Source organism: Homo sapiens, chromosome X, assembly GCF_000001405.40.
Source record: "Homo sapiens chromosome X, GRCh38.p14 Primary Assembly".
Lineage (NCBI taxonomy): Eukaryota > Metazoa > Chordata > Mammalia > Primates > Hominidae > Homo > Homo sapiens.
Genome location: NC_000023.11, coordinates 29,917,369 through 29,938,393, shown reverse-complemented (window position 1 = coordinate 29,938,393; position 21,025 = coordinate 29,917,369). Strand labels below are relative to the sequence as shown.

The following is a 21,025-nucleotide window of genomic DNA, read 5'->3' as shown; positions in this document are numbered from 1 at the left end:
GTGGCATGCCTTAAGTGCCCATAGATAGTCGAGGAGCTTTGGAAATAATAAAAAATATTTGCCTGAAATATAATCTGATCAATCTAATAAACAGAACTCTCATTTTCTCCAGATGGTATTTATAATACTGGTCTCTACATACTTTTTTAATTTTGAGAAATTGAATACAGGTAAATTAGAGAAAAATTGTATGAAAATAAGTCCTTCTTATTTTTAGCAAAGTAATTACCCAGATAGGAGTTACTCCCATTGCTACATGTCACGAGCCATTTAAGAAATGATATACATTACTTAGAATACTCTACATAGCCAATCAATAGTGTTGTTTAAAATATAATAAGAAAAAGAGAGCAGGGTTGATGTAGCTTAGCAGTTACAGAAACAGTCTTGTGTCACATGAAAAACTCCTTTAGGGTACAAACATATGAAAAGTTATATATGCTTAGAGAATGAGCAATAAGCAAGAATAATTCTTCTGGGCCATAGATAGTCATTTACTAATAATAGGAATACCAAAAACAAGTCTAAAGAAACAGAATTTACAAGGAGCTAATTTATCCTGAGATCCTGAGAGCATCACAGACTTTCCCCCAGAGACTTCTGTAGTATTACATTGCAGAAGCATAGTGTTCTTATAATGTCCTTATAAAGAGGTCAGGAACAAAATGGAAATGTGTCTTTCCCCATGGTGCACAGTGCCTGCCCCTCAGTTATTACAATATTTCTATGCAGGAGTGTAATATACAAGCCTACACATTATACATGTATGCAAGTTAAATTTTTTTTCTATTTAAGTCACACTGGTTTATATAGCATATGAAAACCCTTTCAAAGAAAATTGTGCATTAGATTTAGCCTCTGTATTCTTTTGCTCCAAGCCAGACAGATTCATTAATACATGCGCTACCTATTATTGCTTATCCTTTGGGTTATACAAAATTACTAAGGATTAAATTCTGTCACAGTTAAGAGAAATCATTTGGGCCCACTGCTGTATTTTATCTTTACATTACAATGTAAATGGTGTTGCCCCAGCAAATGTCATTTTCCCTTTGAAATGGGATCTACTTTTCAGCTCTAGTTCAAGTTGCCTGGAGTGGCAGCATTTAAAAAATAAAAAGATATCATTTCAGCACAATTCAACATCTGAGGACAGAAGGAGAAATGCAGACCTTTTAAAATCTGTTTAGCCTTTGTGTATTTTGTTAAAATGATAGACTCTGCCCCCTTTAAGGGACTGAGACTGAATATTGAAAATTGTAAAGCAAAATTGCTAGGCAAAACCTAGGGAAAACTGGCATTTGGTTAAAAACAACAAATGAACAAGTGCCAAAGAGTTGCATTTAAGGGCCCCAGCGATCATTTAGTTACAGGCAATTAACAATAGTCCTAGGAAAGCTCCAGTACAGGCTAAGGGAAAACACATTGATTATTGCTGCAGTAGTAGACTGCTTTGGAATAAATTGTTTCAATTTAAAACTAGATTTGCTACAAGCATTTTGAGCAATGACTACAATTTTTTCTTATCAAGACAGTGGGAGCAAGCAACCCCTTAAAAGAAACAGCTAATTAAAATAAAGTGCGTGCCATCTCTTAGTATATTGAATTACATTGCAAATAATAAATGCATTTGGTTTCCACTGATCTTGCTGCAATTACCTAGTATACTATGGGAAACTATGTTCTTTTCTTGGCCTGTACCTGGTGTTATTGTTTGCAAACATTTTCTGCTAGAAATCTTCGAAAAGGTAAAGCTTTTAACAAAGTAAGTAAAAGTTCATATGTATTTTTGAACTCTTGACTTGCAGTTTTTAGTCAGTATCTCTATTTGATCTGTGTGTGTGTGTGTGTGTGTGTGTGTGTGTGTGTGTGTGTTCCTATATATATAGAATTTTGCCAGAAGGTATAACTGAAGATTTTAGATGGCTTACTTTTGTGTAGTTTATCCTAAAGTTGGTTCGTTCATTATAAAAAGTCTTTTGAAGTGTTCTTCCCTCATTTATATGCAGTAAAATGCAAGTTTGTGGGGAAAATGCATGACAGACATTATAATGATCCCAGTTTATTCATTAGCCTCACCAGGTACATTTCTTTTTCTCTCATTGTGTTATAAAGAGCTAAAGTTTATAAGAATTTATCCATCCACATAAATTCATATGCATATTTATTTCTCTGGAGCAGTATAACTTATTTGTTCCTGGCAGGAGGATAATTATGCTCAGCCTACAAAGATACTCAACTCAGTTCTACAATACATCAGTGTAATTTAAAAGCAGTTATTTTTGCGGGGGGTGGGGGAAACACATTAACAAATCAAGCTGCTATTCACATAAAGGAAGAAAATGTTTTGGGAAAGTACAAACCAGTATGTAAGAATAACAGTTTTGATCTTGCAAAAGTCCTTTTTGGGAAGTCAGGGTATAAACCCCCAAAATTATAATAATAAAAATAAAAATGATCCCTGAATGGAGCGGCTTAATCTGTATGACCAAACATTTGGGCAAAAGATTACCTCCAAAGTAGTATATTTTGCCATTTGGAAAGAGGTTTTTAGACGAAGCACCAAATTAACTTCTACTTACTGCCAATCAAAATGCAAATATGGTTGTTGGCTAGGACCCATCATTAGAGCCCAGTTAGACTAAGGTCCCACAGGTCCTTGGAACTTCATTGTTATGTGTTAATGAACTATTCAAAGTGAAAAATAAAATGAAAGGCTAGAAGAAAAAGTGTAACATTCTCTTCACAGCATGCTAGAGCCTACCCTTGGAATGTGCTTTTTTTCTCTTTCAACTAGGCAAGAAGGGTGTTAAGCTGGTTTTTCTCTCTGTGAATTAAGAAGTATTCATAGGTGGTATGTTTTAAAAGATGAGTTAAAATGAATAATGGCAGTAACTGAATAAAGCACAAATCCATGTGTTCATATTAGTTACAAATAAACCAACAAGAAGGGAAAGCTCTCCCTAAGAGCAGAATGTCAACCGGTAAATATGAAATGAACGATATAGTTAGAAATGACCATTTTTCAGCCATCATAATAATAATTGATTCAGGCAAAAATTATCAATAGACGTTAAAATTATTGGTTGAAAGATTGGTGAGGCAGGATATTCACACCGTCTCATAGTACCTCCTCACTGGGGAAAAATGGACATCATTTTAAGGAAGTGACCAAATTTAACATCACCAATAACGGGACAACTTGATATCATCCCCCCCACCCCCGGTGTACTGCAATAAGAGGGCACAATATCATTTAAGTAGTATTATAGCCAGAAACACATAAACATCCAAAAAAAATAAGGAAATGTCCAGCCAATCCAAACTGAGGGACAACTATAAAAAATAAAACCATCTAGCTTCTACTCTTCGAAATGTCAGTGTTATCAAAGACGAAGAAAAGCTGAGGAACCATACCAGATTAAAGGAGACTAAAGAGAATTGGCAGTTAAATGCAGTGCATTATCCTAGATGGTAAATATGGTGTAAAGGGTATGTACTGGGACAATTTTTGAAATTTGAATATAGACTATATCATAGGCAATGGCATTTTGTAATTTTGAATTTTCCTGAATTTGATAAATGTATCCTGGTTACATAAAAAATTCTTGTTTTTAGGGGATTCACATTGAAGAATTTAGTTTCAGTGTCTGCAATGTGCTCTCATGGGGTTTAGCAATGATATGTTGTGTGTGTGTGTGTATATGTAGTGCAGCTCTTTTTACCTACCTATATGTAGGAAGAGAGATAAGGTAAATGTGGCAAATCTATTAATTGGTAAATCTAGGTGGAGAAGATATATGAAAATTTATTGCACTGTTCTTGTAATTTTCTATAATATCTGCAGTTTTTGTATTCCAAAATAGAAAGTTAAAAAATAAAAGGTCAAATTGTAAGATAATAATTGCAAGTGTTATTGTAATTAGAGTGTACTTCAGGTTGATTACCTTTGTATTAAAATTCTGTTATTTACAGCTATTGTACACGAATCTGCACAAAGCCTTCAATTTCATCTTCCCAGATCATGTCTTCACCCTGGAATTTTCTGCAGGATCTCTTAGCTGATTTACATTGCCCATGGAACAAAGTCTAAACCCCTTATGTGGGCATTTAAGTTTCTTTATTCCTTTAATTGAAGCAGCTAACTAACCTTTAGCCATAATCATCCTTCTAATGTAAATTAAATTTGACATGAGTTTTTTGTTCCAAACCAGAAGTTCTTCATTTACCAAAACCCAACCAGTCCTTCAAGGAAAGGTTAGGATCTTGCACTTCCAATATAACTTTTCCAACTAAACGTGATTTTTTTCCTCTTTAGAACATGTATTTCCTGTTCCTTTTTTTTTTCATTTACCATATTGAATTATATCAGAGTTAGTTTTGTTTATTGTTTTACATTGTAAGCAATGACTTTATCTTAGGACCTTTGCTCTGGCTTCCCTCTGACTAGAGAGTATTTCCCCTAGATTTCTACATGCCTCTCTCTTTGCTTCTTCAAGTCTCTGCTCATACGGCACCTTCTCAATTGGATACACTGACCACTCGTTCCAAGTCACAAACCTGTGGCTGCATTTTGCATCTACTTGTCTTTATTTTTTATAGTATTCATCACTATATAACATAATATTTCATTTGCTTATCAATAAATGTATTATTGTTTATTATTTGTCTTCCACTGGGATTTAAATTCCATCAGGACAAGTTTTTTGTCTTCTCTCTCTTTTTTTTTTTTTTTTGTCTATTTTGTCTATATCTTTCACTACTTATCCCAAATACCTTGCTAACTATCTGACACATTAAAGATATTCAGTGAAAATGAATGACTGATTAGATGATTAAGAACAAACCCAATTTTGAATAAAAAGCTAGGTTTTATGTGTTTCTATTCTAAAATTCCAAGAATATGTCTGTGTATCTAGTCAATGTATCCTAAGGTTCAAGCAACTGATAAGGTATAATTATAGCATTAATATTCAGTCCATTAAGTTAGGAATAAACTTTTAATATATAGAAAAATGATCAACTTCATAGTATAGATTTAAAAATTATTGTTCCATTTTCTTTTATTATAAGTTCTGGGGTACATGTGCAGAACGCGCAGGTTTGTTACATAGGTATACACGTGGCATGGTGGTTTGCTGCACCCATCAACCTGTCATCTACATGAGGTATTTCTCCTAATGCTATCCCTCCCCTAGGCCCCCACCCTGAGACAGGCCCCGGTGTGTGATGTTCCCCTCCCTGTGTCCCTGTGTTCTCATTGTTCTACTCCCACTTATGAGTGAGAACATGTGGTGTTTGGTTTCTGTTCTTTTTTTCATTCACAAAGCTAATGACAATACAGTCTTGTATAGACTTACAGAACTAAGAATGTTTGTATTCACTTGACATTTGGAAATCAATCATGTACTGCTTCACATCTTTGATACTGCTATTCAAATTTTCTTACTAATACATACATTTTCTATTTGTTTTATAAGTGCCTTCTCTGTACCAGGTACAGTGCTTTTGAGTTCTAGTGATAAAGTGAAAGTGATGGATGAAATATGTTTTTGCGTTAAAGGTGCTCATGTCTAGTTTCAGAGTCAGACATGTAAGCAGATAATAATAAATAATAATAATAAGAGCTGATATTTATTGAGCACTTAAGTGTCACTGTGCTAGACCCCTTTTATATAAGAAATGCTACATTATAAGTATCACAATTATAAGCCAGATGAGAAATTCAGTTGGGGTATTTGTATGTGTGTGTGTTTCTGTAGGAGTATTTTAGAGACAGGGGTCAGACACAGAATGACACAATGCAAAGGTAGCTGCAAAGGATTTTGGCAAGTAGTTTGGTCTGGAGCACTGGGAAAATGAATGTGTGATGTGATAGGTGAAGGTAGGCAAACTCATGCTTTGATTTCTCAGCTAGAATATGTTATCTTTTTTTATTTTCAAAGCAAATAGCATGTACCTTTTCAATAAATATTTGTTTGCGGATTCATGGAACCCATTAAACCAGGTTTCGCAAAGTTAGGTCAGTACAATAGGACAATGATTCTCCCTTGGGAAAAATTGCCATATATTTTCAAAATGTATACTGTGAAGTTACTAACACAGACAGAGCTTTATTGCAGAAAACCTTTCCCCTTTAGATTATAAAGGCAGTGTTTGAAATATTTCTATCTAAAGACTATAATGTGAGATGTACACAGACCATTATGTGTGTTTGCACACACATACAGGTACAAAGTATTCAGATGGGGCTTCCTTTATCTCAGATCTCATAAGATTAAGTATGATGGGGAGAAGACAGACAAAGAAGGAAGATACTGTTATAATAACAAACAAAAAGGGCCTCAGGTGACCAGCTTAGAAGACAGGGCTATTGTATATCAAGGTGTCAAACTTCACTGATGCCTAAAAGAAAATACCTTAGAAAAGTATTGCTTTCCCTCTACTAGGAATTTCCTTCTTAACATGTCATACAAACAGACAGGCACAGATGGAATGTTACAAAACATCTCTTGAGAGAAAACTGTCAGAGTGAAGGTGGCATTGCCATTTTACTCCTTGTTAAGGGATGTGATGTTTATCCTGAAAGCAATTTTCCTCAAGAGGGTATATTGTCATAGTTAGAACAATTTGGTCTTCCATTGGGAATGCTTTGGATTGGCCAAAGAACCCAGAACATCTGGACTGCCTAGATAACCAATAGAAGAAGCCATGTTTTCTACAGAAATATTGAACTCTTCTAAACAAATATAGTATGATGATTTATAGTATATTTAATTGATGGAACTACATTTAGAAAATATTGTACACACATATAAACTGATTGTATTGCAATATACAAATGGGATACATTAATAAACTTCAGAATTTTATGTTATTATTTTAATATTGTTTCTTTAGGGGTTTAATGGATTTCTGACTTACTGAAAGCATTAGAAGAAAATGTGTGTGGCAAAATTTGTTGGTAATAGTTTATCTCTTGAGACAAGTTTCATGCAAAATCTTGGTGATTCCAGAGTTACAAAGCATTAAAGCAAAAATCATATGTTGGTTCATTTCCCCCAGTGGGAATAACAGAAAAATATATTTATTCTCTATGTTGAATGTTTATGAACACTTCTGAATTCATAAACATGCTGAGGAAAATAGTGGTAAATTTGCCTTTCTTTCTCATTTTGTAAAGAGATGCTTTCAAGACTCTGTTAACCTTTAAAAAAAAAATCCCCCCTCCCCATTAACAATCTATGAAAAAATGAGCATGTTTTGGGAGCTACCAATAGGAGACCCTACCATTACTTGCCTCATCCAAAGGGAGCAGTAAATGGTTCCTTAAACCATGACAAACTTGAGAAGAAGTCTGTGGCTCACATAGTTTAGTGGCCTCTGTACTGGTATACATGAAGGGCTTGTCCTCAATAATGAATTATCTTTTACCAAAATAGCATAACATAGCTCTGCTTCACAAAGAATAGAGCATTACCTTATCATCCCACTGTATGTATTGATTTTCAGCATATGAAAACTAGCAGTGGCTTGAGAAAATAATGTAGAAGTAAGGTGTCCCCTAAAATGTTTTTTTATAAAATAGACAAAGTGGGAGCAAGAGTACATATTCAAGCAAATAGATTTCAATATACTTGAAAAATGTGTAAATAACTTGATTTTATAGCAGAGAGTAATGATAGGTTTCCTATAAGCATTTTCAAAAATATTCAGTAGCTATACCAAAATAGATTTATTTTCTCACTTTTCTTCTGACTCTATAAAACATGCTTTTAGTAAAGAATTTGAAAAATGCATAAGGATGATAAGAAATTAAAGATCACATGGAATCATGCCACCTCGAGGTAACCACTGTTAATACTTCACTAAATTATTTAATGCATCTCTTTCTAATGTATTAGGTTTTCATGTAGCCTTAACATAGGTAATTGATCTATGGCTTTAAATACTAGTACTACAAAATAGCTTATATTTTGCCTTTTATTCTGGACAGTTTGGAATGGAATTTGTCCAGTGTGGTTTGCAAGCTATGTTCTGCTAAGAGTTCTCTTGGTAACCACTTTAGCCTAATTATTTATTTATTTGCCTATCTGTTTATGCAACTATCATTTAAAGATGCCTGGTTCAGCAATGCAAGTCTAACAGGAATTTTTTAAACACCACTGTGGAGCTTTTCTCTTCATAAATAATAATCAGTTTTGGCAACAGTTTATGAATATTCACATAAAACGTGGAGTCAATCATCTGATTTTAGAGGAGGTAAAAATTTCAAATTTCATTTTGACTAATTGCATTGTTTTTCAGATGAAGAAACTAAACTAGTATGTGAACAGCCCACAGAAGAAAATGTATTTTAATACTGCCAACTTTTATGTGACTGCTGAATTGCCAGTGGTAGCAGTCTACCGAAGAAGCCTAACTAAATAGAATTTTATTGCGGTATCTTTAATGTATTTCTTTAAGTTGCTTTCAACATTAAGGTATTTAAATGTTACAGACATATTTGTTTGGGGAGAATTAGAAATGGACCCAAGCAGTTGTGAGTCATTACCTTGAAATTGTGAGGTGGTATAAATAAATTTTTAAGTCAAATTCATTTTACATCACATACAGAGTAGAATTATAATTCTAAGCTGATTTAAGTCAGGTAATTTATATTTAATACTTTCAGGCTTTGAAAATGGCCTCTTCCACTTTAGTTTGCATGAATTTGGCAACCATTGTAAGTCGGTACTTTGAACTGCAGTTGCATGTCGTAAGGAATTGTAATTTCTACTTTGCAGTTACAGAAACTTGCCATCTAAAGATCTGAGTCAACTTTTCAAACACTTAAGGCATAAGAAAATCCCTAGGAAGAGCAACCACCATATCTCACTTTCAAAATTGGCAAAATTGAGGCACAATGTGTAAAAACTCAGAGAATCTGTAAAATCTGACAAATGGTCTAATGTATATTATTAGTCACCCAGTATCATATATGCTCTTTCAAGATTCCCACAGTGCGGCTAGGGGCAATTAGTTTACAAATGATAAAACTGAAGAACAATGACACAAAGAGATTGGCTCTAGGTCACACAAAGCTAAAGAGTCAAAAGCAAAATACTCTCAGGTAACTGTCCATTTTTTTTTATCACAGTTCAGAATTTCTCACTTTTTAGTCAATTCTCATTCATATCAAATTTCGCTTAATGGTAACAATTTTGAGGTGGTTTTAAAAATGACCTTTGTGTGCTTTCCTAAATGTACTACTGGATTTTCTTTTTGAATTAAAAATAAATTCTATTTTTATAGCATTTTAATATCCACTTTTAATTTATCCAAATTGGCCTCCCAATTTATTATTTTTCATAGAACACATGCTAAAAATAGAACACATGCCCTAAAATTAGATACAAAAAGATAATATATTTCCCACAGATGGCAAATGTAATTCTCAACACTAAAATCTATACAAGTTACCATGGTAATTTACTGGAAATCAACACGTTTTCTCCCTACTATATGACCCGAGATAGTAGTTAGCATTTTTGTATGCGTCATGTCTAATTTCTCACTTTACTGACCTGGTTGTCAAAAGTTCAACGTACAGGAACTACTTATTAAAAGTTATACCTTGCATTTTATGACCCAGTTGTGCCATTTCTCTACCAAATGCAGGAATTTGCAGCCATAAAAATGCACAGCTATCTCCCTCTTCCCAAAAATGCTGTTTTAATGCTCCAGGATGGTGGTAGATATCCTTCTGGCAGCGGTCAGTCAGTCCACTAGTAAGGATGCCTAACCCAGTGCTTTGCCCATAGCTGGCACTCAATACATATTTGTTGAATTAGAATGATTTGTCGCTTTTTCAAACAACAGCATTATATGAATTATCTCTTTTAAGCAGCCTGCAGTGAAGTGAGATTTGTAGTGGGATTATGAAGTATTGTCAATCAACAGGTTGTTTTGACCCAGAAATAATGAAAATATGAAGGTGGTTCTGAGAAGGAGGAGTGAGGGGTTGGTTGTTGGTAGGTGGTGGCTAGGAATATACTATCTTGTTTGGAATCTCTGATTACACAAGTGGAATTTTGCTGTGTGCTAGATAATTTCTGTGGGCTTCCTGCAAATGTTTTAAACTTAATTATTTTTTCTACACTGCCTGTTTATCATTTTCTAATACATCGATATGAGTTCCAGTGGATTCCTTCTGCCCTCACTTGAGTAGACTGCTGCCACTGGCAGCTCAGTGGTCACATAAAAATTGGCAGTATTCAAATACATTGTGTACTGTTGACTATACACACACTAGTTTAGTTGCTTCAGCTGTAAAAATACTTGTGTTTTATAGCCTCTGTTAGATGCTAGACAGATGCCTTTTAAAATGAATTAAACTTTTGAACTCGGAGAGATGGTTTTAACCAGTCTGTGTTGCTATGGTCTATGGTCTTTCCTTCTTTCCTCTCCTTCCTTCCCTCCCTTCCCTTCTCTTCCCTTCTCTCCCTCCCTCCCTCCCTCCCTCCTGCTTTTGAAGCATATCATTGACCAATAATATGTGGCAGTTCAATTTCCATACCATTTCCATCCTTTCTTACCACACTTAATTGAGAGTTAGCTGAATACAAGTAAGTGTTCAAAACAGAAAATCAGCAGTATTTCGTGTTCACCATACATCGTGTTCCTCCATATGTTATTTGCATAGGCTGAGATTCAACCTATTTGCATAGGCTAAAACATATGTGTATATCCATATATATGTCGTTGAGACATTCCTAAGTTTATTTCCTTTTTAAAAAATGAGATAAATAGGAAATGGGTCCAACAGTGAGGGCCCTCTTCATTTAAGAGGTTAATTATTTGAATACTTGAAGAAAATGCCCTGTCAGACATCTCTCTGAGTAGCAAGTATGTTATATAGCACAATTCATTGAATAGGTGAAACAAGTAACCTCATTAAGAGTAGAGTGTGAGGGCAATGAACCACTGTTCAAATAGGTTCAAAGGTGTTGACCATGTAAAAAGAATGAGGCAATTAATTAAAAACAGTCCTACTGACTGGCTCTACTCAGCTTTGGTTCCTTTCTCATGGAGACAGTGAGCTCAAGATAACTAGTTTCTCTTTACCTATTAGAGGCTACCAAGCTAATTAGAAAGATCTATTGTCTAGGCAAGGGCTTTGGTATGCCAGCTGCGGTCCACAGACCAATAGTGGCAACACCAATAAGGAACTCGATTGAAATTGGAATCTTGAGTCCTACCCCAGGCTAATGAATTGCTTTTTAACAAAGTTCCCAGGTGATTTGTGCATACTGTAAAGTTTGTGAAGCACTGGTCTAGGGGCTTTTAGCTGACTCTCTAAGCATGGAAATAGAAGAAACCTAACTTTTGTCAATTCCTATGGTGTAAGAACAGCCATTCTGTTGACCTTCTAGTCACATTTGGTATAATCTTGGAAGGTTTTCAAGATTAAAATACTTGTCCTTCTATTTTGAATTTCCCTACATTGAGCAGCTTAAGTGTTGAAATCATTTCCAGGAAGACTGAGTTTTTTATATCTATACTGTAGAGCAGTGCTTGTCACCAGGAGCAATTTTGACCCCTGGGGACATCTGGCAATGTCTGGAGACATTTCTGATTTTCATAACTGAGGAAGGTTGTATTGACATGTAGTGGGCAGAGGCTAGGAGTACTGCTAAACGGTCTACAATGCACAGGACAGCCCCCACAACGACAAAGAATTATCAAGCCCAAAATGTCAGTAGTGACAAGATTGAGAAATCCTGCTATAGACAAAGTTTAGATCACTCAGAATACACTTAATCAGCCCATTCATCACATTTACTAAGTGGGTTTGGTACTTTGAAGCATGTAAGAGAGAAATACTAGTTAAAGATCTGTATCAAGAATTGAACATTTAGTTAAGAAAACAAGTGTAAAACTCAATAAAGCAAAAAAGGACTTCCAGTGACTATAACCATGTATAATTAAATATTTAAGAGCTTTGGCCCACATGAATGATCAACAGGCATGATTAAAGACTAAAGAGTTTATTATTCTTGGCCCTCGACATTGGTTTTGTCCAGGATCACCCTCTTGTCATTTATTAATTGAGAAAAAAGTTAATCATCAGCAGACAATGGTCCTTTTCTTTTCTAACAATGATGCTACTTGGTTATTCTCATTCATAGAGAAGAAAACTGTGTGACCAAAATGGCTAAGAGGCCAAACAATGTTACATGACATACTTCCATATTAAAACTGATTAGCAAAAACTAGGATCAAAAGGCCTTCAACAGAATTGCTTGAACTCAGGAGGTGGAGGTTGCAGTGAGCTGAGATCACACCACTGCACTCCAGCCTGTGCGATAGAGCGAGACTCCGTCTCAAAAAAAAAAAAAAGCCTTCAAAACATTTCACGGTTGAGGCAAAAAAATAACTAACTTGGGATTAATCTCATTTAAATAATATATTCTAAGTCTAAGGAAATAGCTCAAGTGGTTAATAGTCATGTCTGCAACTTTGGTGGCAATCAATAGCCTTGTTGGAATATCCGTATCAAGAAGCACACAGGGAGTTGGGCACAGTGGCTCATGCCTGTAATCCCACCACTTTGGGAGACTGAGACAGGAGGATCGCTTAAGCCGAGGAGTTCAAGACCAGCCTGGGAAACATAGGGAGACCCTGTCTCTACAATTTTTTTTTTTTAAATAGCCAGGTGTAGTGGCATGCACCTGTAGTCCTAGCCACAAGGGAGGCTGAGGCCAGAGGATTGCTTGAACCCAGGAATTCGAGGTTGCGGTGAGCCATGATTACACCACTGCACTCTAGCCTGGGCAACAGAATGAGGCCTTGTCTGTAAAAATAAACATAAATAATAAAAGAAGTGCAGAGGTACAAAATCATTAGTATTGGATAATTTGTGCTATTAGACGTCTTATACAAATGAGCAGAGAAGCCCCCCCCAGCAAAAAAAAAAAAAAAAAAAAAAAAAAAAAAAAACAGTTACGGGACAGAAGAAAATTTTGACTATAAAATGTCAAATCTTATCCAAGGAGAGAATTTGTTAAACTTGTTGACTTTTATTTGGAGATGCTGCAGCAACATTACTAAAATTCCTTAATATTTTGGCACTGCATAAGCTAAGACTCAGTAAAAGTATCCATTTCATTGACATTAGCTCAGCTTTTAATGGGTCATTGTCTTTCTAGGGAAATGCTGCCATAAAGAGAGGTAGGAGGTTTTGATTTCTGAACGAAGTTTGGCTTTAACATATTCTGAAATCAATGGTCAAAGACGTCAAATGGCCAGCCCCAAAAGAAGTTTGCACCGTTTTATGACCTTACTGTAACTCTCAGTAAATAAATTCACTAGGCAAATACTAACAAGGATGGGGCACATATTACAAGGATGATTCGTTACAAGAAGGGTTAAAGGAGTCCACTGGGTTTAAATTCATCTGGCTTTAAAACAATGCATCCTAAATGATGTGCACTTAATTACATTACTAAAGATACTTTTAGGTCTAGGGAGTTTATTGAGCAGGTCTAATTTCTATCGATTACATTCTTTGAAGGGATAAAGAGAGTGCACACAAGAAGTAAAATGGGTTAGATGGGAAATAAAGAAAACCTAGATGTTTATCATTATTAACTAGTGCTGAGTCTCTCAGATAGATACTTTGCCAGTTCCCAAACTAAATTTTGATTAATGAATTGCCATATTTTTGTAATCCATATAAGGAAACATAACCCTTCAGAGTAAGATTGCTAATGAACATCCCCAATGTGACAGTTTCAAAGTGAAACATTCACTAGGAAGCACAATCATACATTAGGAATGTTTAATATCACTGTAATTTAAAAAGTAGTGGATGGCATTCCAAATTATATTAGTCCTTATTTCCTGTTCATTTAATTTTAATTTTCATGCCTGTAACTTTGGCCAGCACAAATGCCAGGCACATAGTAGGTTCTTAGTCATCATTAAATGCATGAATAAATAAACAAAATTATCCTTTAGGACAGTACATTCAAACCACAGTATATCTATTATAAAGTCAAATTCAGAATTGACAGAACAAAATTGCTGGAGCTAAAGCTGATGATTTTAATGAAAGATGAATTAGAATTCAGGGAATTTTTAATGGAACACACAATTGCTGCATCCTTCATTAGCCAGAGTATCACATAGTTAGAGCAAGGAAATCTTGTAATAGCTTAACATTTTTTGGGTGCTAAGTATGTGTCAGACACTGTGATAAGTATTTACACATACGAGTTCATTGAATCCTCACAGCTGCTCTATGTGAGAGGTCTTATTATTATTCCCATTTTATAGAAGAGAAATTTGAGGCTCAAAGTGATTAAGTAATTTGCCCCAGATAGCACAGCTAGTAAGAACAGAGTTGGGTTTTGAACACAGCCAGCCCTACTCCTAAGTCCATGCTCTTAACCATTAAGATAATAAACATGTCTACACTGTGAGGTCATTCAAAATGAGAGTATAGACAGAAGGCACAGAGAGTGAAGAAGGAATCTGAGACAGCTTGATGGGTACAAGAGTGTCTAGGCCTGAGGTCAGAGCACAATACTTCTAGGTATCTACCTGGACTATTGTTTGTGTCAGAGAAATGGAAAATGTAAAAAATGGAGAGAATAGGACAGATCAGAGCTTTGGAGGAGAACTGAAGGTCAGTGTTCAGTGTGTGTTGGACAGGCAGTAGCAAGTGTATCTGGGTAAAAGATTCAAAGACTCAGATGTGGAATTCAATCAAGTATGAGCAATAACAAGAACAAGAAGTAACCCAATATCTAATTTGTCAGCGCTTTACTTTGATTATTATTTTTGAAGCCAGGATCTAATGCTCAAGCTTGCCAGGCCAGAGTCTGGCAAAGAGGATTGAATAGAAGCTTCTGGCAGGAGTGAAGAGTAAGGAGCAGGGCAGTCATAAACCAATATGGCCCATGGGCCTTGCCGTTTCATTCTCTGTCTTTCTCTTGCTGCATATTCTAGTGCTCTGTATAGTAAGTGAAATATATCTATATTGCATGTCTGATGAGATTCTGATGAACCTAATACCTTTTCTGGCTGCAGGAATTGGCAACTTTGGATATTCTCGAGCAAGATTTTTCTATGGTCAAATTTCTTGGTAGATTTTCTGCAGGCTTTCATGGAATTATGATTCTTTTACGCAGATAAAAGGCTGACCCAGAACATAGCCTAGCTCAAATGTAGCTGAATTATTTATTATAGTATCCCCTTGGCATTAAGGAAGACACATTTGATACAAGGAAGCAATGTTTCAAAGAATCCATACCACCCATTGGAGGGCTCTGAAATCATTTTATTATGTCAATGATAATGAACAAAAGGTAACAGTGAAGGAAAAATTGCTTAGATAATTTTGGCAAAGGAATGTCCTGGAAGGTTTACCTGTCAGAAGCAATGACAGCTTGTGGTATACAAGATCAGTATTCAACAAATGTTTGAACATGTCTCTCTAGGGAGGTTTTAAAAGGGAAGACTGTGAAGGCTTATAAGTTAAGGAATTTATGAGTAAGTGGCAGAAAAATACAATTAATAGTGAAAGCTTCCAGTTCCTTATCTAAGCCTTAGTATTCTGAGTAATATAGCAACTCACCTGATAATTACATAATTGTTAGCATGACAGACATTTGACTTTTTAGAGACTCAATGATCAAAGACCCAAACCTATAATTTCATATATGCTGTGTGCTGTTCTCCTGAACCTTGCAGGGCTGGTAAAGTTCAGGTCATGTCATATGTGAACGAAAGTCCTTTTTATCCCCCCAAGATGGGTGGGATAGATCATTCCATATAATCATGAGTCCCTCAAGAGCAGGAAATTGCATCCATTGGTGTCTTTGTGAATTGATGACTCATTTGCTGCAGCTCCCTTAAAAGGAAGGCATACATTCACTTTAAGAGGGACTTTTGGAGTACATGTCTTGGAAGGACCTTTTTTTGGCTTGTTAATGCTTTTATTTATCAAGAATAAAATGCCGTTGGTATAAACGCATATTTGAAAAACATACTAAAAGACTTAAGTACTGAAGAATACTCTAACATTGACCACATTTTTTTCATGTTTAGGAAATCAAATATTACTGGAAAAAATTTCAAATAATTTTCTTCATTCTTCATTTATTTTTCTAGAAATGGAAGGTTTCATAGCTTTGGGCAACTTAGCCTGGAGGTTTTTTGACCCCTTCTTGGCTGTGTGCCTCTCTGTAAAAACAGAGCTTTAATAGCTTTATCCTTAGATATAATTCATTTTCCTCCCCTTCTCCTTTGATTCCTACTTAACTGTCACCCCTCCCTTGTCCCCCCCCAAAATATGTTGTTCAAGTCAACACATTTTTATGTGCCCTATATCTTCTCTCCCCTAACTCCATTTTTGAGGACTAATTCAAACTCTTTAATTAAAGCAGATTCAAGAGAGTGACCAGAATGGTAAAAGTATTTCGCTAATACAAATGAAGAATGAGTAAAAGAAGCTAAAGAGGCTGAATCTAGTGAAGTAAAGGTTCAGAGACTCATGGTGACTGTCATCAAACACTTGAAGGGCTGTCTTGGGGAAGAGTGATTAAAAGTACAGAACTAGGGCCAATGGATAGACAGTGAAAGTGAAATGCTTTCTAACGGATTTTTCCAAAGATAAAATGGACTTCCTTGAGAAGGGAATGTGATCCAGTATAAGCTGATAGATCACTTCAGAAGATGTTATGGCAGGATAAGAAGTTCAATTACACAACACTTAAGTTGCTTTTAACTATGAGAAGCTACTTCTGTCCTTGTATATGTATGATATTTCTACTAAAATCTCTTCCTTGATTGGCTATATACTAAACTATAGAAAGATACAATCATATTGTTAGCTGCTGCATACCTTTCTCCTTGACTCACATCCCTAAAAGGTAGACTATTTTAGTACCATAGTCACCTTGACAACAGAGGTGTCTATTTTAACAGCATTCAGTAATATTATTCAAAGGGAATCTATTGCCCAATAAAGAAGGGGGAACAGCCTTCAATGTTCTCTTTCTTTTCAAACCTCAAAGAGTCTAGGATTAAACACGGGCTTTGAAATTAAAATCGTTGTAAATTTGCTGAGTAAGAGAACATCAAGTGTGCTTGTTCCAAAGAGTAGAAAGTTTTAACTTAGCATAATGTAGAAAAATTATTTTTCTCTTGTAATATACACAAACAATTTTACTAACAGGAATGGCTCACATTTTACAGTTGTCACTTATTTCAAACAATTCAATATACATTTAAATGCACTTAACCCTATGCAAAAGGTGATGGGGTGCTGTAGAGGCAGAGTTAGCACAACAGACATTGCACTTAACCACAGCTTATCTTACTTAAAAATGCATTATTATTCATCATTGGAGACTATTGTACAAATGAAAGTTATCCAAGGCAGAAACAATATGTCAAAAAATACTGCAGTGGGGAATTCACCAGACAGTTCTTACACTAAAGGAGCAATCTTCCAGTAAGAAATACAATCTTTGACTTAAAACCATTTAGTTGTTTTTTTTTTTTCTCTTTTCTTTCTTTTCTTTTCTTTTTTTTTTTTTTTTTTTTTTTTGAGACAGGGTCTCACTCTGTCACCCAGGCTGGAGTGCAATGGCGCAATCTCGCCTAACCGCAACCTCCACCTCCCAGGCTCAAGTGATTCTCCTGCCTCAGCCTCTCAAATAGCTGGGATTACAGACTTGCACCACTACCGCCAGCTAATTTTTGTATTTTTAGTAGAGACAGGGTTTCACAATGTTGGCCAGGCTGGTCTTGAACTCCTGACCTCAAGTGATCCACCTGCCTTGGCCTCCCACAGTGCTGGGATTACAGGTGTGAGCCACTGCACCCGGCCCCTAATATCTATTTCTAATAATAATAAATAGCATTTAACGACTTTCCTTGTATAGGCTCTGTCAAGCCCTTCACATTTTTTTGTCTTATTTTATTCTGACAACATACTGAAGGGTTGATACTATTATTTTCCCCATTCTATTTATCAGATAACTAAAGCTTAGGGAAGTTAAATGTTTTGCCCAAAGTTACACAGTTGGTATTAAAGAAAAGCAAGGATTTCAAATTTGATTTTAGAGACTGAGTTACTCACCCATCTACTGTGCTGTTTGCCTCGGTGGCTCTAATGCAAATATGATTATTTTATTTAGGAGAACTTTGTGGAGAAAAACAAAACTAAATTTGTTTCTTGGTTCCCAATGATTTTTTCTCCCATCATACATTCAGTTGACCACCGAAGCTTAGAAGGTTACACTCACCTCGTTTATGAAGGAGAACGCTGGCGTGTCGACGTCCATTTCCATTTTCAACATAACAGGAGTAATTTCCCAAGTCACCTTCTTCCACAGAGTCCACAATTAATGAGATGGAAACTTCCTGTTCCCCAAGATGCTCCTTAAGAATTCTAAAATGTAAAGCAACAAAACAAAAATCCACACAAACAGACACATACACAAACAAGAAAGAAATGTAGATGAATCCGAATCTGATGTAAAACTACCTACAAAATCTGTGCTTCTAATTTGGCTATGAATTGATGCTGTGTTAATTAAGTTATGCCCTTTTCTTCTTCACTTGTAATGAGGAAGCTTGTCTTTGTAGATGCTAATGAAGTTGCAGTTAATTATCTCCCTTAGCAGGACAATCACACTGTCATAATAAAGAGGTGAGAAAGACCTTGAAGAAAAAGTTTACAAATTGCTTTCCCTTTAAGAAGAAATATTATGTAAGTTGAGATAAAAATTCTAATGTCTCAGGCTGAAGGCCTAATTACATGTCAGGTTAATTTTTTAAAAAAGAAAAGAAAATTTCTGAGCTATTTTGACATTTCAGTTGAAATGTTCAGTCTGACTTTTGTTAATGATACTAACAAATTGCCTGTTTTTGAAGGAACGTGAAACTATAAACCTGTAGACTAAAAGTTCTGGTGAAGTATTTAACTCTGACATTAAAATTAATGGTAAATGCTCACTAACCTCGTTGTCATCTCTGTTCAACATTTTTAAATGCAGAATTAAACTACCTTTCTAGAAACTTCCCTGAACACACACAAAGCCAGAGGGGGTAAAAGTTAGGAGGTTAATTGTCCTTCATTTATTTTAGCATTTCATAGACCATGGGTAAAAGATAAGAGTGAAGTTTTAAATACGAAAATCAGCAGAAAAATGTTTTAGTACATATTAGACAATTGTCCATCTAGCCTTCTGGAATCCCACTGGGGCATTCTAGAGTACAATATTCTTATGTATTTGTTGCCAGAAAGAAGGTCCCAATAGAAAATGTGTTATTTTTCTATTGAAAATCATTTTCTTTTTTACCTTTGATAAAGTTTTAAAAGTCTTGACATTTAGAATGGGGGACCATGATTAAAATGTTTGTATATACCCAGAAGATGCAATCTTTAGATGGGAGTATGTTTAGAAGTAATCATCATTTTGATGTGGTTGTAACTTACTTATTATTATTAACGTTCTTGCATATTTACATTATGAATAAAAATAAGTATCTATGCCAAAGCATAATTACAGCTAGCATTGAATGAATTATAATTGATACTTAAATGAATAAATAAGTAAACACATTGAACAAAAAAGGGGCTTAGGCATTATGCCTTCAAATATTTTCATGTTATCATTCCCACTATACAAATATTTCGACCTTAAAGTCAGACTAAGAAAGGCGATAAACACATTTTGTGTATCCTTATCACTACCATCAAAAGCTTATATTCCACTTGGTGGCTCAAATATGTAAAAATACGTAGCAGGAAATGACAGAGATTGTGTTTGCTTGAGTCCCTGTACCTTGTTAATGTTTCCTGTGAAAATTTTTTTTTTTTTTTTTTTTTGAGACAGAGTTTCGCTCTTGTTGCCCAGGCTGCAGTGCAATGGTGCGATCTCGGCTCACTGCAACCTCCACCTCCCAGGTTCAGGTGATTCTCCTGCCTCAGCCTCCCGAGTAGCTGGGACTACAGGCGCCCACCACCATGCCCGGCTAATTTTGTATTTTCAGTAGAGACGGGGTTCACCATGTTGGCCAGGCTGGTCTCAAACTCTTGACCTCAGGTGATCCGCCCACCTCGGCCTCCCAAAGAACATTTTTTTTTTTTTTTTTTAAAAAAAAGGTCTCATATACAAAAAGTACACTAACATTTTCTATATTTTATGGTATTTTGATCTCACTATATATATATATATATATATATATATTTTTTTTTTTTTTTTTTTTTTGGAGACAGAGTCTCACTCTGTTGTTCAGGCTGGAGTGCAGTGGCAGAATCTTGGCTCACTGCAGCCTCTGCCTCCCAGGTTCAAGTGATTCTCATGCCTCAGCCTCCCGAGTAGCCCGGACAATAGGCACGCACCACCATGCCTGGCTAATTTTTGTATTTTTAGTAGAGACAACGTTTCTCCATGTTGGCCAAGCTAGTCTCAAACTCTTGGCCTCAAGCAATCCGCCCAATCTGACCTCCCAAAGTGCTGGGATTACAGGCGAGAGCCACCACCCCCAGCCGCACTCAGTATGTGGCTTAATGAACAATCTTCGTTATTTTTCTTAAATTCTTTGCAAATGGCATTCATGTTTTGCAATTCCATAGTAAGTCTGTTAACAGTGTTTTGCTTCTTTATCATTAAATATTGTAGTATTTTTATTATGATACTAGTAAAACAAAAAAAAATCCTTTCAGCTTACTTTCTATTCACTAATGGAGTAAATGTTAATCTTGACTATACAGGTTAAAAGGAAAAAAAATTACCTAATGTCACTTTCCCAAACTCGATTTTCATCCAGATCTTCAATAAATTTTTCTCCTTTCATCCAGTAAATTAAAGGACTGACATCTCCGCTGTACCCAAAGAAAGCTCTGCAGGTTAGATTAGCAGAGTCACCTGCAGAGAGAAGTGATGGAAAAGTGTTATAAAACTATTTGTTCACACTTATTTTAGGCAAACTGACAGGTAACATTTTGATCACTTTTCATTGA

At 35.5% G+C, this 21,025-nt stretch overlaps 1 protein-coding gene across 3 annotated transcripts in view; it reads right to left on the bottom strand.

Moving 5' to 3' along the window:
* The window catches only part of IL1RAPL1 (interleukin 1 receptor accessory protein like 1), a 1,369,273-nt gene that overhangs the window by 18,325 nt on the left and 1,329,923 nt on the right, over positions 1-21,025 (bottom strand). For all 3 annotated transcript variants that reach the window (NM_014271.4, XM_017029240.2, XM_017029241.2), the window contains 2 exons: positions 20,798-20,930; positions 18,300-18,445 (listed from right to left, as the gene is read on the bottom strand). In NM_014271.4, the coding sequence (NP_055086.1) occupies positions 18,300-18,445; positions 20,798-20,930 (279 nt within the window). The remainder of the gene's footprint in view (positions 1-18,299; positions 18,446-20,797; positions 20,931-21,025) is intronic.